Genomic DNA, 12,649 nt, shown 5'->3' with positions numbered 1-12,649 from the left:
ACAAATATGGCACATTTTGTAATTGATGATGCCAAAGGAGGCATCATGTCGTGGGTTGTCAGCGGTTTCCTGGGGTTTATTTATTGACTGACTGTCCAATATGGCCACAGCAAAACTCAAACAAACCAGCAGTAATCATCCGCTGAGGCTGGATAAACAGGATACCTGGAGTTCTGCTTTTTCACCACATCTGCAGAATGGGGCTGGCAGACGTTGGGCCCAAGGCAAAACTGTGCCTTCAGTGTGTGGTGCTCAGTGCTAGGAGTCATAGGACAACAGACAGCTAGACAAGAGCTTGCACAGCTGACCCTTCAGATGCAAAGACAAAACCTGCACAGGCCAGTGTACAGTGTTACAGGAGATGTGAGGGAGGCAGTCCTGGAGAGCCAGGTGGAATAGAGGAGCCATCCGTGCCATTTGAGCCGCCCCTGGGAGGGTGTAGAGATGTTTGGCAGAGGTGGGACCAGAGCTACCAGCCAGTGGGGCAGCATGGAGAGCAGACTGGGATGACTGAGAGGAAGCAGGCAGGACACAGATCCTGGGGACAGAGGGCTGGCTGCTTCCTGGCTGAGAAAGGCCTAGAATGTCAAAGAGACAGAGCTTTGGATGGGCTAAAAGTTGAACATCAGAAATGGCAAGCCTCAAGGCAGAAAGAAGTGCCTGTGCCCCCATGGAAGCTGCATGGAACCAGAGAGAACATAAACAGAATTCAGATCCCAGCTCTGCAGCTGACAAACTGTGACATCTGGGTATGTTGTTTAGCCTCAATTTCCTCATCTATAAGATTAGGGTAAATATAGTACCAATTTCAAAGGTCGATTAAGAGAACTAAATGAGATCGTGTATACTGAGTGCTTAGCACGGTGCTTCTCACATACTGCAAGTTCAATCAATGTTATCTGAATTCCTGAAACTACTTTTCAGTAGGAATATTAGGGAGATGGAGCTTCCCTAGGAACTGACCCCACTGAGTCAGACCCTAACCTGAAAACTCGACTGAGAAACATGAAGAATCTGCAGGACAAAACAAATTCACTCTCTGCTGGTTGTGCAGAGTTACAGGGACCAGACTTGGTTAAGGGGGTAGGTGAGCTCAAGGACCAGAGCCTAAGAGTGTAGTGGGGACTTATGACAGAGAGGGCTCAGGGAAGAGCAGGGAGAAGGGGCCCAAACTTTGTGTTGGGTGCATGTAGCCAGTAAAATAGAAAAAACAAACAAACAAGAAAACCCCTGCTGGAGAATTCCAGGGCAATGGTTTGTTTGCTACTCTCTCCCCTGCCAAACCAGAAGCTTCATGAGGACAGGAACGGGCTCTGTCTTGCTAGAGTTGTATCCCCAAGACTCTGCACCCAGCAAGAAAGAGCTCCAGGTGCCTTCATGAGCCTTCTCTGGTGTATTTCACCGCCATCTTGTGGCCTTTCAAGCTCTGGCTGCTAAAGGCAGCCAAGGCCTCCTTCCCTGTCACACACTCCAGACTCAGGCAGCCTCCCACAATGCCATTAAGTCAAGGTCCAGGGGGTTCCACACTCCTGCCTAACGCATCTGGATGTGGAAATACAAAGGAAAATATTGAGGCCTTATCACACACGGACACTTCCCCTGCAACAGTTGTTAATCACATTAATAATAAGAACTAACATTTCCCGTACCCCTAATAAGTACTGAGCACTCTACTAAGTGCTTTACATGCATCATATTATTTGATCTGCACAAAATCCATTTTACAGGTAAGGAATTGAGGTACAGGAAGCTGAGCAACTTGCCCAATATCGTTTAGCCAGTAAATACCAAATGGGGGCTAATTGATCTGGGAGCCTATTCTCTCCCATGGAAAGCAGGTCAGTGAGGGCCGCAGCTGGGACAGGCAGACAGGGCCCTGAGGGGTCTCTGAGTGGGCAGCTTTGATGCAGCTGTGCTTCACCCAGGAAGAAGGCAGGGGAAACGGGCATGGCAAGTCATGACTTCACGACCTTTCTGCACAAACTGCTTCCTCCCAGTTTTGCTCTAGACTTGCTCTGGAGGTTGCACTGCTTGGAGGGGCCCCAGGACCGTGGGAGTCAAATGGAGGGACTTGCAAGTCCATCTGCTTTCAGTGGAGTCTTTTTCAGTGTTAGAGAAACTCAGGGCTAACATTTAAAATGCTAAATGCCCAAGGACAATTTGCAAGGCTTAAAAAACTACTTTTGGCCTTCAGTAGCTGAGTTTTAAAGATGGAAATTAAAATACATGCTGTCCACAGAGGAATTCGGAGCACCCAGGCCAGAGATGACAAAAATCCACCATTTGCAAAACCCCACTTCTATGTTATTCTAACCTGCATTTTTTCCTTCTTTTCCCTACAGTTGTCAGCAAGGGGACTTGTGTAAAAGAGGTAGAAGGGAACAAGTTTGAAAATCTGTGGACTAAAGTTATCCTATTCTATCTCTACTCCCTGTGGCGATGGGAATATCACAATTGAAAGGTTCAGTCCAGGGGGAAAGTAGCTACGATTGTGGCAATTAATATGACTTTCCAGCTAAGACTGTTTCCAAAATTTCCCATGGAAAAGAAATTTTCATACATGGAAGAGAAAATGGCTCCGGTACTACTAAAGCCCATCCACAGAATGCCTCGTCTTTTCTTTAAGTCGAGTGTATATTTCAGATTTCAACTTTAGCCTTGAAAATCCTATTGAGCCATCTCTTGGAATACATTTTGCATTTGCTTCTGCTTGTCACATCTCCTCACTTGCACCCCGCCTCCTGCACTTCACACATAATTCCCGATGTTATAGGAAATGACATCAATATGGAGGTAAACATACATATGCTTTCAATATGTCATTGATCCATGCTACATTTGGGGAGCATTTAGCAACAACAATAATATTGGAACCTTGAATTCTGGAGAAATTTAAACTATGGAAATCTTACGAGTCAGGCTCACTAAGCCACACATTCAAATCTTCCATAGACTGACCTTCAGAACGTAGCTCAGAGGTTTGCAGGTCAAAAAGAGGGGTGGAGGACACAAATTTGAGCATTTCTCACTCATACACAAAGAAAATGTTCAAGGAAGTACAGATGCGAACCTCTGCTACAAAAAGCCCAAAGTCCTCTCTTACCACTACCACTCTTGGAAAATTAAATGCTGTTTTCTTTTTTTCTGGTGGGAGCTGACAGTAGAAAAAAAGAGAATCTGAGTGAAAAATTTCTGAGTTTACACTTGCTTAGTTGTTTCTTCAAAGACAGTAACAGAGAGACCCTTAGATTATTTTAGTATTTCAAAATGCCAAAAGAAATTGTACTTACATTTATTTTCCTTTGTTTTAGCTGGAATTATATCAACTCTGTGACTGGACATGGATTATCATTGACTAACAAGGGGAGCTAGTGGTGAATACATCTTTGGATTAATAATAAACGAGTGACTACCAAGTAAATGAAGTTTGTTTCTCAAGAAAATCTTGCAAATTATAGGGTCTGTGAGGGGAAAATGAGTAACAGAGCCATAACTGATGAAAAGATCAGGAGTCACTGGGTGGGCCAGCCCTCCACTATGAAGTAAATGGGGATTTTTCACTCCTTTCAAATTAACTTTAGTACACATTTTTTGCTTCTGAAAACTTGCTCAAAGATTGTGCATAACACGACTTGTTGTTTTGCAATCTGGATGCTGGAGAGAACCAGAGAAGTAGATTTGGAAGTAAAAGATATTTAATTGAATTGGCTTTTGTTTTGACAGATGTTTTATACAGTACTTTGTCTGTTAAGAACAAGATGTTCCAATAAATATTTGATAAGTGGGAGAGAAAATTTACTACGGGGCCATAAATCAATTGGCAAGAGGTCGTAAACTGCAAGATTGGTGCTCAAAGCATTTATTAGATTATCAGAATTTCAGTTTGATCTGCAGCTTTATCTACCTTCCCTTATCCATCATTTTTATGGGACATGAAAAAGAGTTATAAAGGATAAATTGCATTTAAAAAAATTAAAATATAGGTTTTAGACAAAGCAGTATGCCAGGATATGGAACTAGATTAAGTGATGAACCAAGAAAGATATCCAAAATTGAAATATTTTTGTTGCTTCATAAGACTTAAGTACCAGTTTAGTAGACAATGAAATACAAAGATAGGGAAATTGTGGAACTTTTAAAATACAGAGGGGTTCCAGAGATTGTTTCACCTGACCCCCCTTGGTTGTACAAATGAAGAAACCAAAGTCTGTAAGGTTATGGGCTTTCTACAGCAGCACAGTCTGTAAAGGGCATCAGTGACCCTATTTCTATTCAAGATAATGCAGAATAGAAAGCTCTGTGATTTTTTTCTTTTTGGAGGGAATATATTTTTGTTAACAGAGAGGCATAGAATATAAAAGGTATATAATTAAGACTCTTTCATACCATAAAGTATAAGACTCTTACATACCTTAAGGACAGGAACTCATGCTCATTCTTAATGCATTTTCTTAACTGTCAATAAATATTTGTCTGCAGGCAATTCTGTGTACCCAGGGTGTACATTTCACACACCTACTCTCATGTGCTGGCAATGCAATGGTGGCCTATGGACCAAAGAAACAGATCTCAGCATCCACATGCAGTGGATGGGCAAGGGGGACAAAAACCAAGCACATGGAGCTTCTGAAACACACCTCGCTACTTGAGTGATCCAAGGCCTGTTTTATTTTGGGCCAAGGGGTGGGTGCTGCCTTCCCAAAGAGGCAGGGCCAGCCTGGGGTGGGGCAAGCCAGGCGAGGGGTGTAAAATTTAAGGTGACCCTCAGTCTCAGGGCCATACGAGTACTCACCCTGAACCTGCACTTCCCTGAGAGTGACTGCCCCCTTAAGGTGTATGCCCTAACGTCTTGCTTGACAGGAAAAGGAGATTTGCCAAAGTAAGGGAAAGCTGTTAGGGGTTAGGGGAGAAGCCTAAGGGCAATGAAGACATAACTTCTCAACCACATTCCTAGGGGCCCCCATGTCCCACTACCAAACCCTGGAAACCTGGAGACACAAGTGGTGAGGGCACGGGAAGGTGAACTACAAGACATCTTCCCTGGAGATGCTTTCAGTCACATGGTGGAGGCAGGCAGGTACCATCTCACAACATGGGGCATGAAGCTCCATAACTGCAACTGTTAATGACTACCAAACAAAGTGTTATGGGGACACCAGAAAACGTGGGGAAGATATATTGGAAAAGGTAGCATTTAAGCTGGCATTGAGAATACTTATACTATTTATAAGAGGGAAAGGAAGCAAAATGGGAGCATCATTTCTGCCCAGGCACTGGATTCTCCTCCGGGAGGGGCGGCCATGCCCAGGGGAGCCTGTGGGGGCACAGAAGACCCGAAGTTGGACTACTTCCAGAGGAAAGCTCCCACCAACCTCCATTGCTCTGCACACTGGGGCTCTGAATATAGGGTGGCCGGATGAAATAAGGAACACTCCGTTCAATTTGCATTTCAAAGAATCAACAAATAATTTTTCAGTAAAAGTACAGTATGTCACAAATATTACATGCAATGTTATACTTTAAAAAGTATTCATTGTTATCTGAAATTCAAATTTGCTTTTTTTTTAACTTTAAGTTCTGAGATACATGTGCAGAATGTGCAGGTTTGTTACACAGGTATACATGTGCCGTGGTGGTTTGCTGCACCTATCAACCCGTCATCTAGGTTTTAAGCCCCACATGCATTAGGTATTTGTCCTAATGCTCTCCCTTCCCCCTGCCCCCCTCCCCCCAACAGGCCCCGGTGTGTGATGTTCCCCTCCCTGTGTCCATGTGTTCTCATTGTGAAATTCAAATTTAACTGGGTGTCCTGTATTTTTATTTGCTAAATTGACATCTCTCTCTGAATAAAGCCAGTAAAAAAGTGCCCAAGGAGGAAAGGATGGAAGGCGATTGAGGAAATGGCCTGAGGAGCCTCCCAGACAGATTCAGACTGTCACACTGCACACTAATCCTCTGCTCTAAAAGGAAAGTGATAGAACCCTAGAGCTGGAAGAACATTCAGAGCATCAGTTCTCAATCCAGGAAGCACATTAGAATTTCCCAGGGGAGCTGTAAAAAAATATCAGTGCTTGGAGTTCATCCTTAGATATTCTGATTTAATTGGTTTCAGTGTAGCCTAGGTATTAGCATTTCTTACAGCTCCCTGGGTGGCTCTAATGTCAAATAGAGTTGAGAACCACTGCTTTGGAGATGACTAAGTTCAGTCCTCCAAGGCACAAGGTCAGACACATCTGGCCTTAAGATCCAACTCTCTCAATTCCTAGCTGTTTGGCCTACACTATGCTTGTTTCACCATCTGTAAAATGGGGATAATATTCACATTATGAGGTTGTTGCATTGATGGTTTAAGACTTCCACTTAGACAATGCAGATTGAAGCATGCATTTAAATTCATTCTACCCTGCAGCCCTGCTGAAATGAACATAGATTGAAAAAAATAGTATTAAAAATACCAACTCATGGCCGGGCGTGGTGGCTCACGTCTGTAATCCCAGCACTTTGGGAGGCCGAGGCGGGCAGATCACGAGGTCAGGAGATCGAGACCATCCTGGCTAACATGGTGAAACCCCGTCTCTACTAAAAATACAAAAAATTAACTGGGCGTGGTGGCGGGCACCTGTAGTCCCAGCTACTCAGGAGGCTGAGGCAGGAGAACGGTGCGAACCCAGGAAGCGGAGCATGCAGTGAGCCGAGATCTCGCCACTGCACTCCAGCCTGGGCAACAGAGCAAGATTCCATCTCAAAATAATAATAATAATAATAATAATAATAATAAAATAAAAATAAAAAAATACCAACTCATCTACCCCTTCATTAGTGTAAAGAAAGCTAACATGAAACTGTCTGCAGAGGGGAGAAACCAATACAAAGCAAGCCAATTTACACCACTGAATCCTAGAAAGGTTCAGAGAGGGAGGCAGTGAGATCCTCTGTAAGTCAGACTGAGAGGCGGGCCAAAAATCCATAGGACTTGCTCATGATGTGCATGAAGTGTGGAGAGACCCCCACACCCGTTTGTCCAACCCCTGCAGCTGGTGAGAGAGACCAGAGAGGGGTGAACTCGAGGACACTCAGTAGACACTCAAGCATACACAAGGGTGCATGCTGAAGGAAGGGTGGGGCAATTTATCAGAAATAGGGGGATAGAATGAATGACTGCAAGCTGAATGGGAGAGTCCTAGCACCATCCCCCAAATGCTGGCAGCCAGGGACACACCCTAAAGGCAGGGGACTTTCCAAAGAACCTGATAGAGGGACAGATGCTGACACCTGAGGATCTCCTAAATAAAGGCTGGGTGCCCCCTCACTCCAGGCCCACCCACAGAACCTCCCCGCAACCTTTTAGTAATTCACCTGACAGCAAGGATAGAAGAGATTAGAAGAGAGCCTCTAACATGATAGAGACCAAAAGCAAATGGGGTGCAGGGGGCGGGGCAGGAAGGAAGCACTTGAAAGAAACAGATAATTCAAAGAGAGAATTTTTGAAAACTATAATGAATTAAAATATTACAGTAATTATCCAGGAGATCCAATACCTGACTAACAGAAGTTCCAACATGAGAAGACAGAAACTGGCAAGGAGTAAATTATCAACTAACTAATATAAGAAAAATTTTTCAGAAATTAAGACAGACTTTCCTAGATTAAAGGAGCCCAACAATCACCAGCTCTCCCCACATCTCCACAAAAAAGAAGGGGTGGAGGGTGCTCACACCAAAGTGATTGAGTGAGTTCTTCATGGAATTTTAATATCCTAGAGATTAAAAAGAAAAAAGACCTAAATGTTGAGTGCAGAAGAGAGAGGAAGAGTGAGAAAGGGGTGCGGGGAGTCACATGTAAAGGATATGGAATCAGAATGCCATTGAATTCCTCCATAACTCGAAGCTAAAAGACAGTAGAGTCATTAATGCATTCCAGATCCTAAGTGGGGGATGATTTCCTACTTAGAATTCTATACCCAGCCAAACTACAAATCAAATCATCAAACATACAAGGTATGGAAAAATTCGTCTCCCATGCTGCCTTTTTGCAACTTTCATATTTGCTGAAAAATGTGTTTTCTCAACATTGGAGAGAAAAATGAGAAAGATGAAGACATGAGATCCAGAAAGCAGATCATATACAGGAGTGTGGTAAAGAGAATTCCTTGGGTCAGAGTGAAGGGAAATCTCAGAATGACAGAGTGTGGTAGATCACTAGACCCATCGGGCCAGAATGCAGAAGGACGGAGAACTCCAGCAGGGAAGCCTCCAAGTCAAAGAGAATGGAATAATAGTTTGTTTGACTCATTTGACAATACAGAAAGGAGCTCTATGCTTCTGTTGGAAAATTTGAGACTTCATTTTTAGACACATAGAAAATTAAACAAACAAAGTGATTATAGATTCCAAAGCAAACTCAAGTCATGTAAAGAAGGAAACTCACTACACTTTGAAAATATTAATAAAAATATTATTTATAGTCATTATAATATAAACACTGAATATTTAATTTAAAATAGAAAGGATGAAGGGAGTGGAAGTGTAAGAGAATGGGAATGGATGAAGTATAAGACCTAAACCACACTCTTCATCCAGTAGATAATGTCTATCTTAGAAATGAAACAATAGTACTATAAGCACATTATTTATAAATCTGGAGATAAATCACTGAGAAATAACTAAAGTAGTTGCTTTAGGGATGGAATGAGACTGAGAAGAGGATTTCTGTTTTTCCTCATAAGACTTCTAGTTCTATGTGACTTTTTATATTATATACATGTATTTCCTTAATGTAGGTCCTAATAAGTGTTTTGCATTTAGTAGGGGCTCAGTGAACACTAGCTACTATTATCAAATTATAGATTTGATAGTGGATGAATAGAAACATTGTGGCTTGCCTAAAGCTTCCTTCCCCTGAAACTGTCAGAAGCAGAACTAGGGCTTCTTTATTCAAAGCATTTTAAAAGGGCATCTTTGTCAGACCCAAGCATGAGGCAGTCCCGGTCCATAAGTGTCATTCTATTCAGGGACTGGGAGGAAAAGCACGAGTGTACATAACTATTTCACAAAGGATACCCTGGCAAGCACCAAGTAACGAGAGTTATCTAGCCAGTCTCTAACCATTATGTCCCTCTCATGTCCCATTCTCAATGCCAGAGCGGATCATAAATATTAAGGACTACCTGCCGCAGATGCTAACTTTTAACATGTGAGCGTTTAGGCTCTCGGGAGGTAATATACGCAATTCATCACGGTTCACTTTCCTTTCTTATTTTCAATCTCTAGAGAAAAGCCTGTATTCATATTAGAAAATTTACAATAGCAATCAACAGGCCCATCCGAGTAGCTTTGGTCACTGACTGCCTAGCTATATTTACTTCCACCAGGTTTTTTATAAAGTTTGGCTGTCTTGAAGCATTACCAGCACGCCATCCTTCTGGTGTCTTCCTGGCTAAATGATGGTCAAACTGCTCCAAACAATCAGAGTTTGGTAAGAAGAGCCAGGGAGCCCATCTTCCCGCTTTTACTACCACGGGTGTCCTTAGCTGCGGCTGCCAAGCTGAGCAAGTTCATGGAACTGCGGTACTGAGGGCTGTAAAACGGTCTTTCCTGAAAATAAAGTAACAAAAAATCAAGCTCAGCTGGATTCTGATTTAATAGTATCTGGCAAGCTAACTATATTATTTTTGAACACACAGACATAAATTTGATATGAATAATAAAACTGAAGTATAATATGGACAAAGGAAATATAAAATTCGCCTAATCTTCAAAAGAAATTCTATACTTGAATAATTATGCTCTATTTATAAAACTAGAATAATTGAAAACAGGATTTTCAGTTGATTCATATAGCCTCTGAAATATTTATTATTGCAAGTCGAAAAGATCTGTCTGGGATTTGTCACTGAAAATGTCTAAACTCAGTGTCCAGATGTTTATTTAAGTTGCTCCCACAGAGTTCTAATGTCAATACTAGGGGTTATCAGAGAGCATCGCTGTGTATCTTCCTTGACTAATATTCTCATTTCTTTTGCATCTTTGATGTTTTCTTTCATTAAAATTCCTGGCCCATATCCACAAAAATCTGCTAGGCTTGCATAAAAAATGAGTCTGCAGACTTGACATTTGATGATGCCCTGTGTGTTCACAAAGATAATATTTATCAGCAGCTATCACTTAGACATTACAACCAGCAGCATTGAGTCAATTTAAGAGAATAAAAAAGAATACAGAATCCAGATTTTAGAGTGTCTTACTTGCAGATTCCAACTTCCTGCCTATTCTTTTCTCCTAATGTTATGTAAGGCAAAGTTAGAATCAGCAATGGGATTTTTCACCATGGCCCATGTGCATTCTCTCCCCTCCCTCTCTGTCATGTACCCTGTCTTCTTTTGCAAACCTAAAGTAAAATGACTTTAAAGTAAAGGAAACCAGGCCCTCTGTCAAAACTCACTTCCTAAAGTTTCTGCAGAGTAAGACACCTGGGAGAACATTCTAAAGATAGATTATATGATGTCCTTTTCCTTCGTGTGAAAGTGGCAAAAGACAACACGATTGTATTTTTTAGCGAACCAGATGGGGATTTTTTTCATCAGCTGCACAAAAGAAAGCATGTACTAAAAGTTTCTCCTTTCCAAAACCAAATGAATTTTATCCAAATTGTTAAAGTACCTAGAACCCAAAAAAAGGGGGGACATGAATAAATGAAATTTGCATAAACATTCAAAAGAGCCCAGTGCATCTGAAGGTTGGTCCAAGCTACGATCAGATGGGGAGTTAAGACCAGCAAGGGGTCAACACTATTTATCCTCTGCTGTTCACCATGTTAATTAAAAAGAATTAAATCTGTTTTGAACTCCAATATAAAGTGAAGAAAAAGTTTGCTACAAATGTGAAAAACCACTAATGATACAACACAGTATCTTCTGGAAACTGTGAACAGATTAATTAGAAGATGTAACCTACAGGAAAATCTCCTGTTTACTTGATTAAATCATAAAATTCACAGACTCATGTAATACAGCCAGAGAGGTGGCTTCCTAGCGCAAAGTAGTCATTCAATAAATGTTTATCGGCTTTTCAATGAATATCTAGTCCAGCATTTCTACATTAATAGCTATCACATAAAACTGAATCTCCAGGCAAATACATTTGGGAAACACTGAATTAAATAAAGTTAAGCAGGCTTTTTACTCTAGGACCTCTCAAACCTTTAATAAGCTCAGGTGATTTGGAATTACCATGGGAGAGTGGGTGAAAAGGGGCAGATATTACGCTATATTTCCGAAACCCATCTGATCCCCAAATTCCATTTTTCTCAAGATTTCTGTTTTAAGAGACACATTTTGGAACACGTTGACCAGGTTCAACTCCTTCATTTTAGAAACTGGACAATGCAAATCCCAAGAAGTCAACTGACTTGGCCAAGCACTCAATTTGCTAACAGCAAAGCAAGAATTCTGCCCCACCCCCTCAAGCTGTAACCTCCCCTCCCACCCCCTTCCCCACCACCCAATATATCTTGATTCCTAGCCCAATAGCCCAGGACTTTTCTCCTCAGAGCACTTTTGTTGCTCTCCTGCTAATAGATTTATTTTTACTACAAGTTTAGCCTAAAGGAAATACACTTTTAAAGCCAACAGTGGAGGTAATGCAGCATTACCTGGTGATGTGCCATGAGAATTCTAGCACTGTGTGGTCTCTTTTGAGTATGGATGATCAGTTACCTTTGTGAAGGTGAGCAGGGGCAAGTAGAATTCATGCTTCCATAGCACCCTTCAGTACATTTCCCTATTTTTAACTATTACGGTTTCCCCCTACACTGTTCATTTTAAGAGGTCAAGGAATTAGCTCTACAGTCTATCACATGGTATGTTCATGTTCGTGAACATCCATGGAATGAATGAATGACCAAATGAACCAACCAACAAGCTGTGTCTTGCTTTTAAAGGACTTCTCAGCTCTTTGAAGGAAAGAATGACTAAACCTCAACACCAGAAGATGGAAGAGAAAATGATTTCTGTTTCCAAAGAAGATCCAGGCTGAGATAAAGGGGCTGGGCAGAGGAGACCAGGCCGGATGACCCCAAGCCAACTCACAGGAGGGTATTTACTTTGGCGGTTTCCCAAAAAGAGTAACCAAAATAGAAACAATGTGGTCAGTTAGATAAACGTTTGCAAATTGCTTTGTTTCTTATATTGTCCATACTTTTTAAATCTAGAATTTAGTTGGGAGGGGAGACATAATTGGGATATGTATCTAAAGTCGACAGTAAGTAATTCTTTGGTAAATTACCTTGTTGGGAACGATTACTCTTGGAAGAAACGCTGAGTGCACAATTCAGATCACGCCCTCTAGTGGTGAAAGCTCACATTGGAGCGTGGCCTATGGAAACTCCTGGATGGCCAGTGTCTCTTCTTAGTCTCAGATTGTGCCAATATTAATTTTATTTCAGATTTTTTACTGGAGGAGGAAATTCCTTTTAACATTAATAACTTGCACAACGCCTTCATATATAAATTCTTCTGGCAAGAAATGCGTGGGTCAAATCTGAAGACCTCTTCTGTTTGGGCTCTGGATGTGTCAAGCCAAAAATTCTTGAAAAATAAAGGTGGTTAAAAGCAGTTAGGCCAGATGCAGTGGCTCAGGACCATCATCCCAGC

General features: G+C 41.7%; 1 long non-coding RNA gene across 2 annotated transcripts in view; it reads right to left on the bottom strand.

The window, feature by feature from the left end:
* LOC105370834 (uncharacterized) overlaps positions 1–12,649 on the bottom strand; it is a 50,352-nt gene extending 37,703 nt beyond the window's left edge. For both annotated transcript variants that reach the window (XR_001751554.3, XR_001751555.1), the window contains exons 1-3: positions 12,282–12,649; positions 9,406–9,593; positions 4,412–4,547 (exon numbers count right to left, since the gene is read on the bottom strand). This is a non-coding gene — a long non-coding RNA (uncharacterized LOC105370834). The remainder of the gene's footprint in view (positions 1–4,411; positions 4,548–9,405; positions 9,594–12,281) is intronic.

This window comes from Homo sapiens, chromosome 15 (genome assembly GCF_000001405.40).
Source record: "Homo sapiens chromosome 15, GRCh38.p14 Primary Assembly".
NCBI classification, from domain to species: domain Eukaryota; kingdom Metazoa; phylum Chordata; class Mammalia; order Primates; family Hominidae; genus Homo; species Homo sapiens.
Note: the sequence above shows the minus strand (reverse complement) of the source record. Positions and strands in the feature narration are given on the sequence as shown.